The sequence below is a fragment of the Homo sapiens genome, chromosome 13, assembly GCF_000001405.40.
Source record: "Homo sapiens chromosome 13, GRCh38.p14 Primary Assembly".
Classification (NCBI taxonomy): Eukaryota; Metazoa; Chordata; class Mammalia; order Primates; family Hominidae; genus Homo; species Homo sapiens.
This window is the reverse complement of record NC_000013.11, coordinates 102,573,449-102,588,863: the sequence shown is the minus strand read 5'-3', so window position 1 is coordinate 102,588,863 and position 15,415 is coordinate 102,573,449. Positions and strand designations below refer to the sequence as shown.

General features: G+C 40.5%; 1 annotated feature.

Moving 5' to 3' along the window:
- Positions 4,295-4,394: an enhancer, noted in NCBI's record as "active region_7965". NCBI's record gives its function as "activates an Ori minimal core promoter by ATAC-STARR-seq in GM12878 lymphoblastoid cells {active_cell/tissue: GM12878}" and the evidence as "EXISTENCE:reporter gene assay evidence [ECO:0000049][PMID:35858748]".

The window sequence follows — 15,415 nt, the reverse complement described above, 5'->3', positions numbered from 1 at the left end:
CTTTTTACTGTGTCCTCACAGGGGAAGGGGTGAGGGAGTTATCTGGGGCCTGTTTTATAAGGGCGCTAATCCCATTCTTGAGGGCTCCACCTTCAAATACCATCACTTTGGGGGATTAGGTTTCAACACATGAATTTTAAAGGAACACATATGCAGTCCATAGCAGGAACAATAACTTGGACTTTTGGATGGTCCTGATTGCCCCCACAGCCTCACTGATGTCCACTTTGTTTTCACCCTAGTGAAGCATTGGTAATGGAGTATCTATGAGGTGGGGGACTGGCAGGACTTATTTCCTGGTGCCAATGAATGAGGTGAAGAAACCGTAGGAACCAGCAGATGGTGACAACAGTGATCCCTCGCTGCCCTCATTGCTCATTGACATAAAACAGTCCCACCAGTGCCGTGACAGTTCTCAAATGCCATGGCAGCAACCCAAAAGCTACACCTTTTTCCGTGGCAACTACCTGGAAGTTACCTCCCCTTCCCTAAAAAGTTCTAAATAACCCAACCCTCAGTTTGCATTAACCCACCCCTTAATTTGCATGCAATTGTAAGTGGGTATAAGTGAGTATAAACCCAGTTGCGAAGAGCCCATATGCTGCTCACTCTGGGTGCACTGCAAGGAGCAGTGCTGTTCAGTAAAAGGTTGCTAACACGACTGGCTTGCCCTTGAATTGTTTCCTGAGGGAAGCCAAGAATCCTCCCAGTTTTGGTGCTCTCATGTCCTGCATCATCTACAACAGGAAGTGCCCCCCCCCATGGTTAGTAACCTTGTGTGAACTGCTAGACAGACAGTAGGAGGCCTCTACTCATGGATAACCCCCTGGATAGAAGAAACTACCCCAGGTCATCTGAGAGTCCTATCTTCCTAACTGTGTACCACCTAGCACTTGAGTGCTTCAGAAATGGTGGTTGAACTACACTATGTCCTCCCTGGCCAAAGAATTGTGTTCTACCATACCCAGTGATGTCTCACACTGCTTCTAACTCAGAATAGGTTCTCAAATCTTTGTGCATTTGCCCAATTTATTTTAATATCAAATGTTTACACTATTTGGTAATTACTGATTGCATAGTCTCTCTAACTCTATTACTTGGTGTTCTTAGGAGTGAGAAAAAAAGAATAATACAAAAACAGGATAACATTATGTGTTGTAGTATCACAGAGAGAAAGGAATGCCCAAGAAACATTGCAGCTTGAAGAGTGTAAAATTCTCTAGACTTAAATTGTGTATCCTTCCAGAAATGTCGTATGCATACAAAGAATATGATGCATATATTTCCTCTTTCCTTTTTTACACAAATTGTAGTATACTATACTCACTGTCCTGCACTTTATTTTTTTCTTTGTTTTTTGCTTCACAATATTTCCTGATGAATATTCGTACGTAGAATTTTATTCTTTCTTGTTAATTAGGCGTACTATTAATTTGTTTGGATATATCAGTTTATTTAACTCCATGTGTTTGTTTTTAAATCTCTTGAGAAGCTGGAAATGGGTCCTTTCTTGCAAGTACAGTTGTTTCCAAAACATAAGCCTTTTGGGTAATAAAGGTCATCATTTACTTTAGTTCTGACAAAGTCAGATGTCTGTATATGGCTTATATAAGTTCCACTCCCATCCTTAGAGGCATTCAACCCACAGTCCCTGCTAAGTGGGCCGGAAGAATGTAACCCACTTACCTTCTGGCCACAGACGATAGACCAGGAGTAGAGTCCTGACCCGAGGCAGAGAAGAAGCAAATGGGTATGTAGTGTGTGATGGGGGCTTACAGTGAGCTTCTGATCCAATCAGCTTCTGCTTTTGGGTTGACAGGTGATTCCTTTGTATCCTTAAATTTGACACTTTTATTTGACATCATATGGAATTTTCCCTTACTTAAAGCAGCTTCTGCTAGAACAGGGCATATAGTACTTACTTTGTTTCACCTCAATTCCTGATGTATATTAATCAGCAAAAACATTCTCTCACTGAATTCCATGACAATAAATCACCATGAGGATGGCAGACATGTATTAAATCAGACAAGCCATTGTCCAAGGTGTAGTTCCTGCCCTGTGGTGCTTCACTGGATAGGCTCATGCCTGGACCTGCCTAACTGGGGCTGTTGTCAATTGTGGCACCTGCGTGGGACTTCATAAAACCTGTCCATCTGCCCACATTTGGAATGTCAGAAAAACTTGCCAGGTTTAAGATTCCAGTTAAAGGCGAATCTCAATGATGATACCGAACATCCTGAAGTGAACAAGAGAAGCCAACAATATGGTAGCAAAAGCATCTGGGCAGCAGATAAAGGGTTTTGTCTTCTAGGTCTAGGTCTGCCACTAATTAGCTACCTGACCTTTAGCAAGGCCTCTGCTTCCTCTATCATCAATTTGGAAGTTATATGAGTATAAATGAGGCCGGGCTTGGTGGCTCATACCTGTAATCCCAGCACTTTGGGAGGCTGAGGCAGGTGGATCACTTGAGGCCAGGGGTTCAAGACCAGCCTGGCCAATATGGTGAAACCCGTCTCTACTAAAAATACAAAAATGGATGTGGTGGTGCACACGTGTAATCCCAGCTACTCGGGAAATTGAGGCATGAGAATTGCTTGGGTCCGAGAGGCGGAGGTTGCAGTGGGCAGAGATCATGCCACTGCACTCCAGCCTGGGCGACAGAGCAAGATTCTCTCTCTCTCTCTCAAAAAAAAAAAAAGTTACATGAGAAAAAATAGCTTCCACAGTGCTAATAACTATTTGCTATTTGCTATTAGTAAAATGTGACTGTATGTAGTAGAGACTCAATAAACAAAACCAAAACTGGTCAGATTTACACCACCTCAAGTTAAGACTTACTAAAGTACACAATTTTTTTAAAAGAGGACTTCTTAGTTTGCAAGAAATGTTTTTAAAAATCAGCTTAGCCATACAGTAAAGGGACCTTGTTTTCTTGAGGTAAATCATCAAAATTTACTTTATAATTTGTCAAATATTTTATGGACAGATACATTTATACTGTTTCTAGAATCTAATTTTTTAAACAACAGACATGTCTGATCTTGAGGCACTATTCTTTCTTCTTTTATAAAGTAATGACAAATAGAAAATTGGTTATAAAAATCACTTTGTGTGTATATTCATGTGAACTGGGGTGGTCACATATTGGGGTTCCAGACAGAATTCTCTGAAGTCTTCTAAAACTGACTATAAGTATTCATTTAGAATGAGCCAATTCCCAATGAATTCATAAAGCTGTTTTGGGGTGTTTTGGAGGTGTTTTGGGGAATATAAAAGGAATAGGAGAAGGTAGGAAGGAAAGAGAAGAGGCTTTATAAAAAATTAAATAATTAAAATCTTTTTTATTAATTGATTTCTTGAAGATTTTGTATACATATTTTTTAAAACAAAATGTTTAACAAAATTGCATAATATATGCGTGTGTGTATACAGTATACAATATATAAAATACACTCACATTTACATATGCACACGCAGACCCCATACACACTTTAAAATCAGATGCAGATATCTATTGCTTGAATACTAAGAAAAATATTTCCTCAACTAGTGTCTCCAAACCTGCCCAAAGATCTGAATCACCCAGCACTCTTGTTAAAAATACAGTTTACCTGGGTTCCACTTCAGACCTACGGAATCAGAAGCCCTAGTAGAAATGCATCGTAATTTGTGTTTTAAACAAAGATCCTGGGTGATTCTTGTCATCAGGAAGTTTGGAGAACACTGACCTAAACTGTATTTATTTGCTGTACTTAGTGCTGGTATAGCACTACAGTCCGGATAATTAAAACTGGGAAGTTTCTCTAAGATATTTTTATGCCATGGAGCAGTGTGCCAGTTGTCAGCTTCCTGCCTCTCCTCTTCAAATGTACCTTCTCTGCTCTGCTTTTGATACTGGAGCTGGACCCTGTAAACTTGTCTCCCTTCCTAGATGGCACAAGGTTAAGCTTTGAGCATTTTTGACTTGTGTTTTCTCTAATTTAACCCCTCTTATTTTCTTAAGAATCCATTAGGATGAGGTTCACCTTTGAAACTGTCTGTTCAAGGACCTCCACACTGCTAACTCTGAAAGCTGAGCCTCATGTTTTTATTTGACCATTGTCCATAGCATTTGACACAGTTGAGTGCTGCTTCTTCCTCGAGAGACTGTCTTTGGTTTTGAGAACACTGCTCTCTCCTCATGTCTCATGTTTCATGGCTCCAGCTGCCTTTGCTAGTTCCTCTTTTTTTTTTCCTGACCTCTGAATGTCAGCATGATCTAGGACTCAGTCCTTGAACCTCTTCTCTTTTCTGCCTACACTTATGCCTTTGATGATGAAATCTAATTGCATGGCTCTGAGTACCATCAGCAACCTGAAGATTCTAAAATGCGAGTCTCCAGCTCGACCTCTCTCCTACATTCTAACTCCTGTTTGATATTTCCACTTGGATGTCTAACAAGAATATCACACTTTACATGCTCCAAACTTAACTATGTGTCTTCCCCAGATCTGTTCTTCTTCTAGTATTCCTCTTCTCAATTACACGAAACTTTAAAGCTTCTAGTTGCTCAGGCCAAAAATCTTGTCTCCTCACTCTTCTGCCATCCATCCAATCCATTTTCAAAACCTGTTGGCTTGATCTTCAGAAAACGCTCAGAATCTGATTACTTTTCATCACCTCCACTGCTAACATTTTCATCCAAGCCAACATGATGTTTTGTCTGCATTATACAGGAACCTTCTCTATCAGGATAGCCTGGGTTATGTTGTAATCAAAATGGCCCCCCAAATCTCAGTGACTCCAAACCACATGTTCTCTCTCTCTGGCATGATCATCATTGATTTACTCCCTGACATCTTCTGTCCAGGCTCTGGCTCATGGAGAAGCTGTAGACTAGAACATTGCTAGACGACCATGTGGTTAATGGAAAACAGGGCATAGTGAAGGATATAGTGCTCTGAACACTCTGTCTGGACATCAAACATGTCCCCTCTGCTCCCATTTCATTGATGAAAGCATGGACATGCCCGATTTCAGCATGACAGGGAGGTATGGGTGATCCTTGTTAGTCACGGTAGTTATATTCTACAAGGTTGTAGCAGACATTGAGTTAGCAAATTCTGAACCACTGCTCCTATGCTAGGAAATACAGGATTATGTTCCTGTGAGCTTCTGGCTGAAACATTTTTGTCAACTGAGATGCCACCCTGTTAGGTAGATTTATTTGCCAACTTCCTTGTAAAACAAGCCAGCCTCACTGATGTTCAAAACCTGCTCTTCCATACAACCCTTTTCCTGCATAATACTTAGCAGGCATTTTTAAAAATATGTATTGAGGGAGTAGAAAAGATATCAGCCTTACCCTGGGACTGAGTCAATGGCAACTTCTTGTTCCACAGGGTTAGGGAAGACTATGAGGAAATTAAAGTTGTTTGGAAAAATCCAGGTGGCATTGCTTTGTATGTTGTGATGGGGAGAGGGGTGAAGTGCAAAAGCCCCTCACACCCTCCATCTCACCTCAGACTGTGTCCTGGAACCCTGGGCAGAGAAGCCCCACTCACACTCCTGCCTCTTGGGATTACTGGTGGCCATGTAGTGATGGAGAATGACAAGTAAGAAGAGCAAGCCGCCTGGCATGTTGGTGAAGATGGCGAGCTGCACTGTTGTGGTTGTCTCGGTCAGCTCTGCTGGGCACTGACACTGTCTGAGCACACATTGGAGGCAGGATACCTGGAAAGCATCTTTGTAGGCCAACTGAGTCCCAAGGGGGCACTTCAACCTCGTAGCCCAATCAGAGTGGCCTTTCCAGCCCTGCTACCTCACCTGCTCCGGCAGAGGTTTTAAAAATTCTTCCTCAGCCTCTTGATCGCAGACCGTACCTCAGCTGTAAGTTCAACATCTCACGTCATCTGGCCTTTTGAATGAAATGAGTGAGCCAACCAGTAGCTGAGAAAGCTTTAACGTTTTCTTTGTCCTAAGGAACATAACATAAATGTCTTTGGCTTTCAGCCTCGAAACAATGCTGTCCACATGCTTTTTAAATCAGTGGTTATCTCATCAATCCATGTTTTCCATAGTGATATGGTTTGGCTCTGTGTCCCCACCCAAATCTCATATTGAATTGTAATCCCTTCATTACAATTCATACAACCCTTTTCCTGCATAATACTTAGCAGGCATTTTTTAAAATATATATTGAGGGAGTAGAAAAGATATCGGCCTTACCCTGGGACTGGTCAATGGCAGCTTCTTTTTCCACAGGGTTAGGGAAGACTGAGGAAATAAAAGTTGTTTGGAAAAATTGTTGAGGGAGGGATCTGGTGGGAGGTAATTGAATCATAGGGGCAGTTTCTTCCATGCAGTTCTTATGACAGTAGTGAGTTCTCAAGAGATGTGGTGGTTTAAAAGTGTGGCATTTCCTCCTGCCCCACTTCCTGCCACCATGTAAGAGGTACCTTGCTTCCTCTTAGCCTTCCACCATGATTGTAAGTTTCCTGAGGCCTCCCCAGCCACATGGAAATGGGAGTCAATTAAACCTCTTTTCTTTATAAATTACCCAGTCTCAGGTAGTTCTTTATAGCAGTGTGAAAATGAACTAATACACATAGGTTTATAATACACTGTAGACATAACTCCAGCACTTTCTGGAGTGCCCTTGTATACAGACTGATGAATTTCCACTGCCTTTTCCTGGATGTACCATACTGTTGATTCATTAATATTGAAGTCATGGCCAACAGCACTGAACTCATGCCTGAGTGAAGTTTCTCTGTGTGTTTTCTCCGTAAGGGCACATCATAGTCTTCTTGTGCTTAGGAACGCTAGGCAGCACTTCTATTTGGGGGCCATTTTAAACAGCACTATTACCAACAAAATGTGCAAAAAACATGCCAAAAAAAAAAGCTTGGCATTAAATAGAACCTGAAAAATATGTGGATTGTTTTCCTACTTTCCTTTTTGGATAGCTTGTTGTGAGCGTATAGGAATGCAACTGTGGTTGCCATGAAGCTTGCATATGAGCCTCAGAGCTGTAATAGCCCATTTTGAGATTACAACTTAAGTTGGATTGCATGTGAAAGCTCTACATGTTTACTCCCCCTACCTTACGTTATTGATATCAGAGTGTATTTTTATATTGTGTACCTATGAACAAGGTTTTGTGGTTACAGTTATTCTTAATAGTTTTGACTTTTAACTTTAATACTAGAGTTAAAAGTGGTTTACACAGGGCCCTGTGATGGAGAATTAAACTCAGATCACACCTGGGATTCAGACAGGCATTGCTGCATTTGCGGCACTAACATAAGTGAAGGAAAAAGAGTGATGATGGGCAGCAGGTGGTCTACTATGGAGCTAGAAGGGAAAGGGGAGAACCAGTCTTGCAGGTTACATTGAGCCTTGCTCAGAGTGGAGGCGGTGGGTGGGGGTGATTTGGCCCATGGATCCCTGATGTGTGCTCATGTTGAAGAGTGGGATTCCTCCACTGTCCTGTCCTGTCAGGGTAGCCAAGGAAGGGCTTCTGCTTCCAGTGGGAATGAGACATGATGACCTTTACAGTTCCTTCTAACTTTCAGAGGTTGCACACTGCAGTAGTAAAGTGCACAGAGTGGAGCTAGCCTGGATGGGTTTGAGTCCTGGCTCTCTCACCTGTCAGCTCTGTGACTTGGGGCCAGTGACTTAACCTCTCTGTGCCTCAGTTTCCTCATCTAGAAAAAAATAGAGATGCTAATCCAACAATAAGACCAATTCCATGGGGATGCTGCAAAAATTAAATGACTTTGTATAAAGTATTTAGAACTATCCCTAGCACATCATGAGAGCCAGAAAAGTGTTTGCCTTTTTGCTTAAATGGCTGTGATATTTAAAACTGGCCACAATTGATAGTTAACTGCAAATCTACATATTGTAAAGAAGCATGCTGTCCTGATAGTAAACTTTTAAAACACATGTTCAGTTTTATAATTATAATTCCACTATAGTTATCATAAGCAGAAGTACACATTTCTTTATTCTTTTATTGATATAAAATTTGATTCAATATTTATTTTGTGTATATGATTAAATCCTAGAAAATGCGTCTTGAAAGCAATGCGTTTAGATTGGCTTTGCAATAGTGCCACCTTCTGGTTGAATTCCTTCTTTACAAGCCCGTATCTTGTCTAGACTCATCCTACTGCGCTTGGTAAATTGTGATTTTGTTCTAGGAGATACCTGAGTGAGGCATGGTAAACCGGTCCCAGCAGACCACTCCCTGAAGATGTTGGCTTGATATGTGCTGGAAGATGAAAAAGCATACAGAATGCAGGACAACATAAAGAAAATAGAACCGAGAAGTTATGCTAAGTATATAAACAAACCAAGAGTATGGATTGGAATGCTGTTTTCTTTGGACAGATCAATGTTCTTTTGGAAAGATAGAATGAAGCTGAATAAGTTGCAGAAAAGGTCAAATAAAATGATTGTGTCCAAAAGACTAGGGTTTTTCTACAGTTTGGAACAAACAGACAGAGGCAATGCAGTGTTTAATGACTGTTCTGAAAAAATAATTATGATATTGTGGGGCGAAGGAGACTCTCACAGCCAAAAGTTATGAAAGAGAGCCACACTCTACAAATTATAGCAAATTTGGGGACATATTAGGGTGAAGGGAGATGGAAAATAAAGTACGAACATACTATATAGTAGGTATATTACCTATATGATCTAAATTTAGTTGTCTAGACAACCACGCCTTACAATTGGTCTTATCATCCTTTCAGACATCAGAAAACAGAAGCTCAAAAAGTTAGTATGTTGCCGGGCGCCGTGGCTCACGCCTGTAATCCCAACACTTTGGGAGGCTAAGGCGGGCAGATCACCCGAGGTCAGGAGTTCGAGACCAGCCTGGCAAAACCCTGTCTCTACTAAAAATACAAAAATTAGCTGGGTGTGGTGGTGGGCACCTGTAATCCCAGCTACCCCAGAGGCTGAGGCAGGGAGAACTGCTTGAACCTGGGAGGCGGAGGTTGCAGTGAGCTAAAATTGCACCACTACACTACAGCCTGGGCAACAGAGTGAGACTCTGTCTCGGGGGGCAGGGCAGGGGGAAGTTAAGTATCTTGGTCAATTTCATAGAATAGCTGACAACTGTCTCTGATTCCAAAGGCTATGCTAATGCTAATGTACCATATGTTCCCCCCATTTTCATTTTATTCTAATTAAATAATTTATTTATTTATTTTGAGACAAGGTCTTGCTGTGTTGCCCAGGCTGGAGTTCAGTGGTGCGATCCTAGCTCACTGCACCTTCAAACTACTAAGCTCAAATGATCCTCATGCTTTGGCCTCCCAAGTAGCTGGGACCACGCCAACACGCCTGGTTAATTTATTTTATTTTATTTTTTGAGACAGGGGTCTCGCTTTGTTGCCCATGCTGGTCTCAAACTCCTGGCTTCAAGTGATCCTCCCACCTTGGCATCCCAAAGTGTTGGGATTACAGGCTGAGCCACCATGCCCGACCTATTTTACTATTATTTTTTAATTTTTAGAGAAAGAAGAAAAAAGAGGTAATATGAGCTAATATTCTTTCAGCATTTACTTTGTACCATGCACTATACTAAATTCTTTTACACTTGTGGTCTCAGTTACATTTATTTATTTATTTATGGAGACAGGGTCTTACTCTGTTGCCCAGACTGGAGTGCAGTGGCACCATCTGGGCTCATTGCAATCTCCACCTTCTGGGTTCCAGTGATTCTCCCATTTCAGCCTCCTGAGTAGCTGGGACTGCAGGCACACACCAAAATGCCCAGCAAATTAAATTTTTTTTTTTTTTTTTTTTTTTTTTTGTGGAGACAAGGTCTCACTATATTGCCCTGGCTGGTCTCAAACTCCTGCTCAAGCAATCCTTCTGTCTTGGCCTCCCAAAGTGCTGGGATTACAGGCATGAGTCACCACACCTGACTCCCTCAATTACTTTTAAAGTTATTTATTCAGTTTCTTTTCCTCCTTGCCTGTAGCCAAAATCCTCACTCCCATCCTCACAGGGTGCAGTTCTAAGGAGTGCAGTGCACACTCTTTTGCATGTATGTGCTACTGGCAAAATGTGTATTGCTGTTGTATGTGCCTTTATTCTAACTTATGTTTGTTGTATTGTCTTATTTTGTTTCTTTCTTTGTTCACTCAACACTGTTTTCAAAATCTCTATGTGTTGTCCTGTGTACACCATCCAACTACCTCCAACAGCTGGCTAGTGCTCTATTATGTGCTTGCGGCCTGGTTTACCCCTCCATTTCCCAGGGATGGCAGAGCAAGGACCGTCTCCGCTTATGCTTCGTACAGAGCTGGGTGAGAATTCCTATGAGAGTCACCCAGGATCCATCCTTGGTAGGCCACAGTGAACAGTCTACCTGCATTTCGACAGGGACCTGTCTGACTCCTCCCCAGAATGGCTGCTGAGAATCGGGCCAAGGCTCACCAGCAGCACAGGCAACCCTATCTCTGTCTCTCTGCTAGCAGTGGAATTATCCAGTTTTCTAAGTTCTTCCTGTCTGATTAGTCTAAAATGAAACCTCATCATTGCTTGAATTTGCAATTCTGATATCCAACGTATTTGAAACGCTCTTGATAAATGTAGTGGCACTTTGTTTCCTAGTCAGATCTTTTGTCCATTTGACTTGTTCTTTTTGATTTGCAGGAGAGTGTCACATAAGGTTCTATTATTCTCATTTTTAGAGATGCAAGAATTTACTCTCAGTGAGGTTCAGTGACTCGTCCAAGGACATCAGAGTAAGCAGTGAAGCAAATGTTTGAATCCAGAGTCATGCCTCTGAAAGCTGGATATTAGGGAACAATTTGGTGAATTATCTATTAACCTTAATCTTGTCTTTCTTAACCTTGTCCATCAGGTTAAAAAAACTTCAGCATTTTGATTGTTGAGAAAGAAGATGGCTCAAAACAAAAGAGTGAATTTGTCTTTGATATATTTGATATCTCCTTTCCTTTCTCTCTCTCTCCCACATTCTTCTTTAGGAAATAGTTTATTTTTCATAAACTAAAACCAAAAGAAGATTAATCACCCCACAATTCTATCAGTGCTAGATAAGTACTATGTTATGTCAAGTGCCAGCCTCCCTTACCTTGAAAATATGTATAAGGGGTCGTGCGTGGTGGCTCATGCCTATACTCCTAGCACTTTGGGAAGCTGAGGCGGGCAGATCACCTGAGGTCAGGAGTTCCAGACCAGCCTGGCCAACATGGTGAAATCCCATCTCTACTAAAAATATAAAAATTAGCCAGGCATGGTGGCATGTGCCTGCCATCCCAGCTACCTGGGAGGCTGAGGCGGGGGAATCACTGGAACTCGGGAGGTGGAGGCTGCAGTGAGCTGAGATCGCCCAACTGCACTCCAGCCTGGGTGACAGAGCGAGACTCCATCTTAAAAAAAAAAAAAAATATGTATAAGGTGTCTAGGATGTGCCATCTCCTGTTCTAGAAACCATGAGAAACAAAGAACACAAAATTTCAGTTAGACTGGAGGAATAAGTTCAAGAGATCTGTTGTACATCATGGTAAATATAGTTAATAACAATATGTTGTATACTTGCAAATTGCTAAGAGAGGAGATTTTAAATGCTTTCACCATAAAAAGATAAGTATGTGAGTTAATGCATAGGCTAAATAGCTTGATTTAGCCATTACTCAATGTACACTTATATCAAAACAGCATGTTGTATACCATATAGATGCACACACAATTTTTACTTGTCAATGAAAAAGAAAGACCACTTTCCAAAAAAGGTATTTAAAATTAAGTAATCCAGTAAAGGAAACAGAATTTTAAAGGCATCATAATATTCTAAAGAAAATTTAAGGTCTAGTTTGGAAAGTGTTATCTTTGTAAATATTATGGTAGTGATAGTTTATAATTCTGTTTCTCTACTTTTCACTTACTGATGTGTCCTGGATTCATATTTCATTGAAATGTATTGATTATATTATAGAAACTATTAATTCAGACTTTTTTATCTTTATTTAAATGGTAAACAAAACTTTGAAAAAATCAGGCTCCTCTAAGAGCTAGGAATATGTTTCATTGCTAATAACAGAGATCTGAAATAACAGTGGCTTAAGCAAAATAAAGGCTTATTTTTCTTTCCTAAAACATTATGGAAGGCCGGGCATGGTGGCTCATGCTTTTAATCCTAGCACTTTGGGAGGCCTAGGCAGGCAGATTGCTTGAGCCCAGGAGTTCAAGACCAGCCTGGGCAACATGGTGAAACCCTGTCTCTACAAAAAATACAAATAATTAGCTGGGCATGGTGGCACACACCTGTAGTCCCAGCTACCTGGGAGGCTGAGGTAGGAGGATCACCTGAGCGTGGGAGGTCAAGGCTGCAATCAGCTGTGGTCATGCCACTGCACTCTAGCCTGGGTGACAGAGTGAAATCCTGTCTCAAAAATAAAAATAAAATAAAATAAAATGTCACAGTCAGATGTAGTCAGTTCTCATTGGCATGCTGGTATCAGAGAGCCAGGCTCCTTCTGCATTTCTGCTTTGCACCTGGATTTTCATCCTTAGGGTTTCTTCCTGGGTGACAGAGGCCACTGGGGTTCTAGCCTTTTATATCCATGTTTTAAGAAGGAAGAAAGAAGAAGAGGGGGGGACAAAATGGATGTATCTGCCAGTTGAGTAAATATTTTAAAATAACTTTCTATTTCTTACACGGTGCTGAACTTCTCTGTCTACAGGGGAGCCTGGGAGATGTTTAGCTGCTTTCACTGCCACAATACAGAGGTTGTTTAATAAGAAGGAAAAAGAACTATTGGGTAGGCAACTAGCAGTATCTGGCACAGCTCCTAACTATCTTTTATTCAGTACAAGATCACCCACTGTGAATGTGTACTTAAATATACTGAATAACACCTTAAGAAATAACAATTTTAGGCCTGGGCACCATGGCTCATGCCTATAATCCCAACACTTTGGGAGGCTGAGACAAGAGGATCGCTTGAGCCCAGGAGTTCGTGACCAGCCTGGGCAACATAATGAGACCTTATCTCTACAAAAATAAAAAATAAAATAAGAAAACAAAATTGGCTGGGCATGGTGGCTTGTGCCTGTAGTCCCAGCTACTCAGGAGGCTGAGGAGGGAAGATTGCTTGAGCCCAGGAAGCAGAGGTTGAAGTGTGCTGAAATTATGCCACTGCATTCCAGCTTGGGTGACAGAGTGAGACACCGTCTCAAACAAAACAAACAAACAAAATTTAAAGTTCCAGGTATTAAAAAGAAATGTTCAAACCTATAAAAAAATCTCTCCTCTTACTACCTGATCTCAAAATCTACCAAACTGTAACAATCAAAACAGCATGGTACAATCAAAAGCAGACATATAGGCCAATGGAACAGCATAAATAGCCCAGAAATAAATTCACTCATTTATGGTCAACTGATCTTTGACAAAGTTGCCAAGCACACACAAGAAAGGGAAGACTAGTGTCTTTAGTAAAGGACGTTGGGACAACTGGATATCCACATGCAGGAGAATGAAACTAAACTCTAATGTCACACCACATAGAAAAATCAACTCAATATGGATTAAAGAGTTAAATAGACAAATGGGATTACATCAAACTAAAAAGCTTCTGCACAACCAAGGCAACAATTATCGGAGTGAAGAAACAATGCACAGAATGGTAGAAAATATTTGCAAGCCATACATCTGATAAAAGGTTAATATCCAAAATATATAAGAAACTCAACTCAATAGCGACAAACCCAAATAACTGGATTAAAAAGTGGGCAAAGGACTGGAACAAACATTTCTCAAAAGAAGATAAAGAAATGGCCAATGGGTATATGAAAAAATGATCAACATCAGTAGTTATTTGGGAAATACAAATTAAAACCACAATGAGATACCATTTTACATCTGTTAGAAACACTGTTATCAAAAAGATGAAAGTTAGTAAGTGTTGGCAAGGATGCAAAGAAAAGGGAACACTTATACACTGTTGGTGGGTATGTATATCAGTAAAGCCATTGTGGAAGACAGTATAGAGGTTCCTTAAAAAAATTAAAAATAGACTATATGATCTAGCAATCCTACTTCTGGGTATATATGCAGAGGAAATAAAATTAGTATGTTGAAGAGATATCTGAACTCCCATGTTTATCGCAGCATTATTTACAATAGCCAAAATATGAAATCACACTAACTGTCCACTAATGGATGGATAAAGAAAATGTGGTATATATAAACAATGAAATACTATTCAGTCTTAAAATAGAAGGAAATTCTGTCGTTTGTGACAACGTGGATGAACCCGGAGGACATTATGCTAAGTGAAATATGCCAGGCACAGAAGACAAATAAGGCATGATTTTACTTATATGTGAAATCTAAAAAAGTTGAACTCATAGAAGTAGAGAGTAGAATGCTCATAACCAGGGCCTGGGGGTGGGGGTGGGGATGAGGAGATCTTGGTCAAAGGGTACAAAGTTTCAGTGAGAAGGAGTAAGTTTTGGAGATCTATGGTGCAGCATGGTAAGTATAGTTAATAATGATGTACTGTACACTTGAAAACTGCTAAGAGACATTTTAAATGTTCTCACCACAAAAATGGTAAGTGTGTGAGGTGAAGGATGTGTTAGTCAGCTTGATCTAATTATTCGACAATGTATGCATATGAACAAAACATCACGCTGTACACCGTATATATGCAATTTTTATTTGTTAATTAAAAAAACTAATTTAAAAAAGACCTAAAGGGAACCTCTCAATGTGCTCTGGGTCTAGTTTTCACTTCTGTAGTAGCTGCTTCATGGGGTTGGGTTGGGGGCAGTGTTGGAGAAAGAGCAGGTCAATTCTCATTTGGTTATTCATTCACTCAATAAGCAATATTTAGCACCTATTATATTTAGGCATTACACTGTCTTGGGGGGGTAATTACTGTATTTGTATAGTGCTTTATAGTTGATAAAGAACATTCATCTGCTTTTTCATATTTAATCCTCATGTAACACCAAGAGACAGGAAACGGGCATTATTTCTTTATACTATAAATAAAGACATTGAGGAACAAGGAGGTTAAATAAGAAATGCCATTCATAAAATTAGTGTGCGTCAGATCCAGGACTTCAGCTGGGGAGTTTCACCTCCTATGAATTTTCTACTCCTCTGACTTTAGAAATTTGGTGCTGTTGCTAGTTAGGGGATCAAGGTAGGGCACTCTCTCTTTCTCTCAAAATCTGGGGTGTGTGTAGGTCAGAAACTGCCAAAGCTAGATCTTCTGGGCCACTAAGACACCTGCTTAGTTCTCTTATAAGCATTTGACTGTAGTCATTTGAATTTATTTAAATCAATAGTTCTTAGCTTCCGTTCTCCCAGCCTTTTCCTCCTATTATGAAGTTAAAATATGAGACAACTGCCATGGTTATACCCAGATTTTCA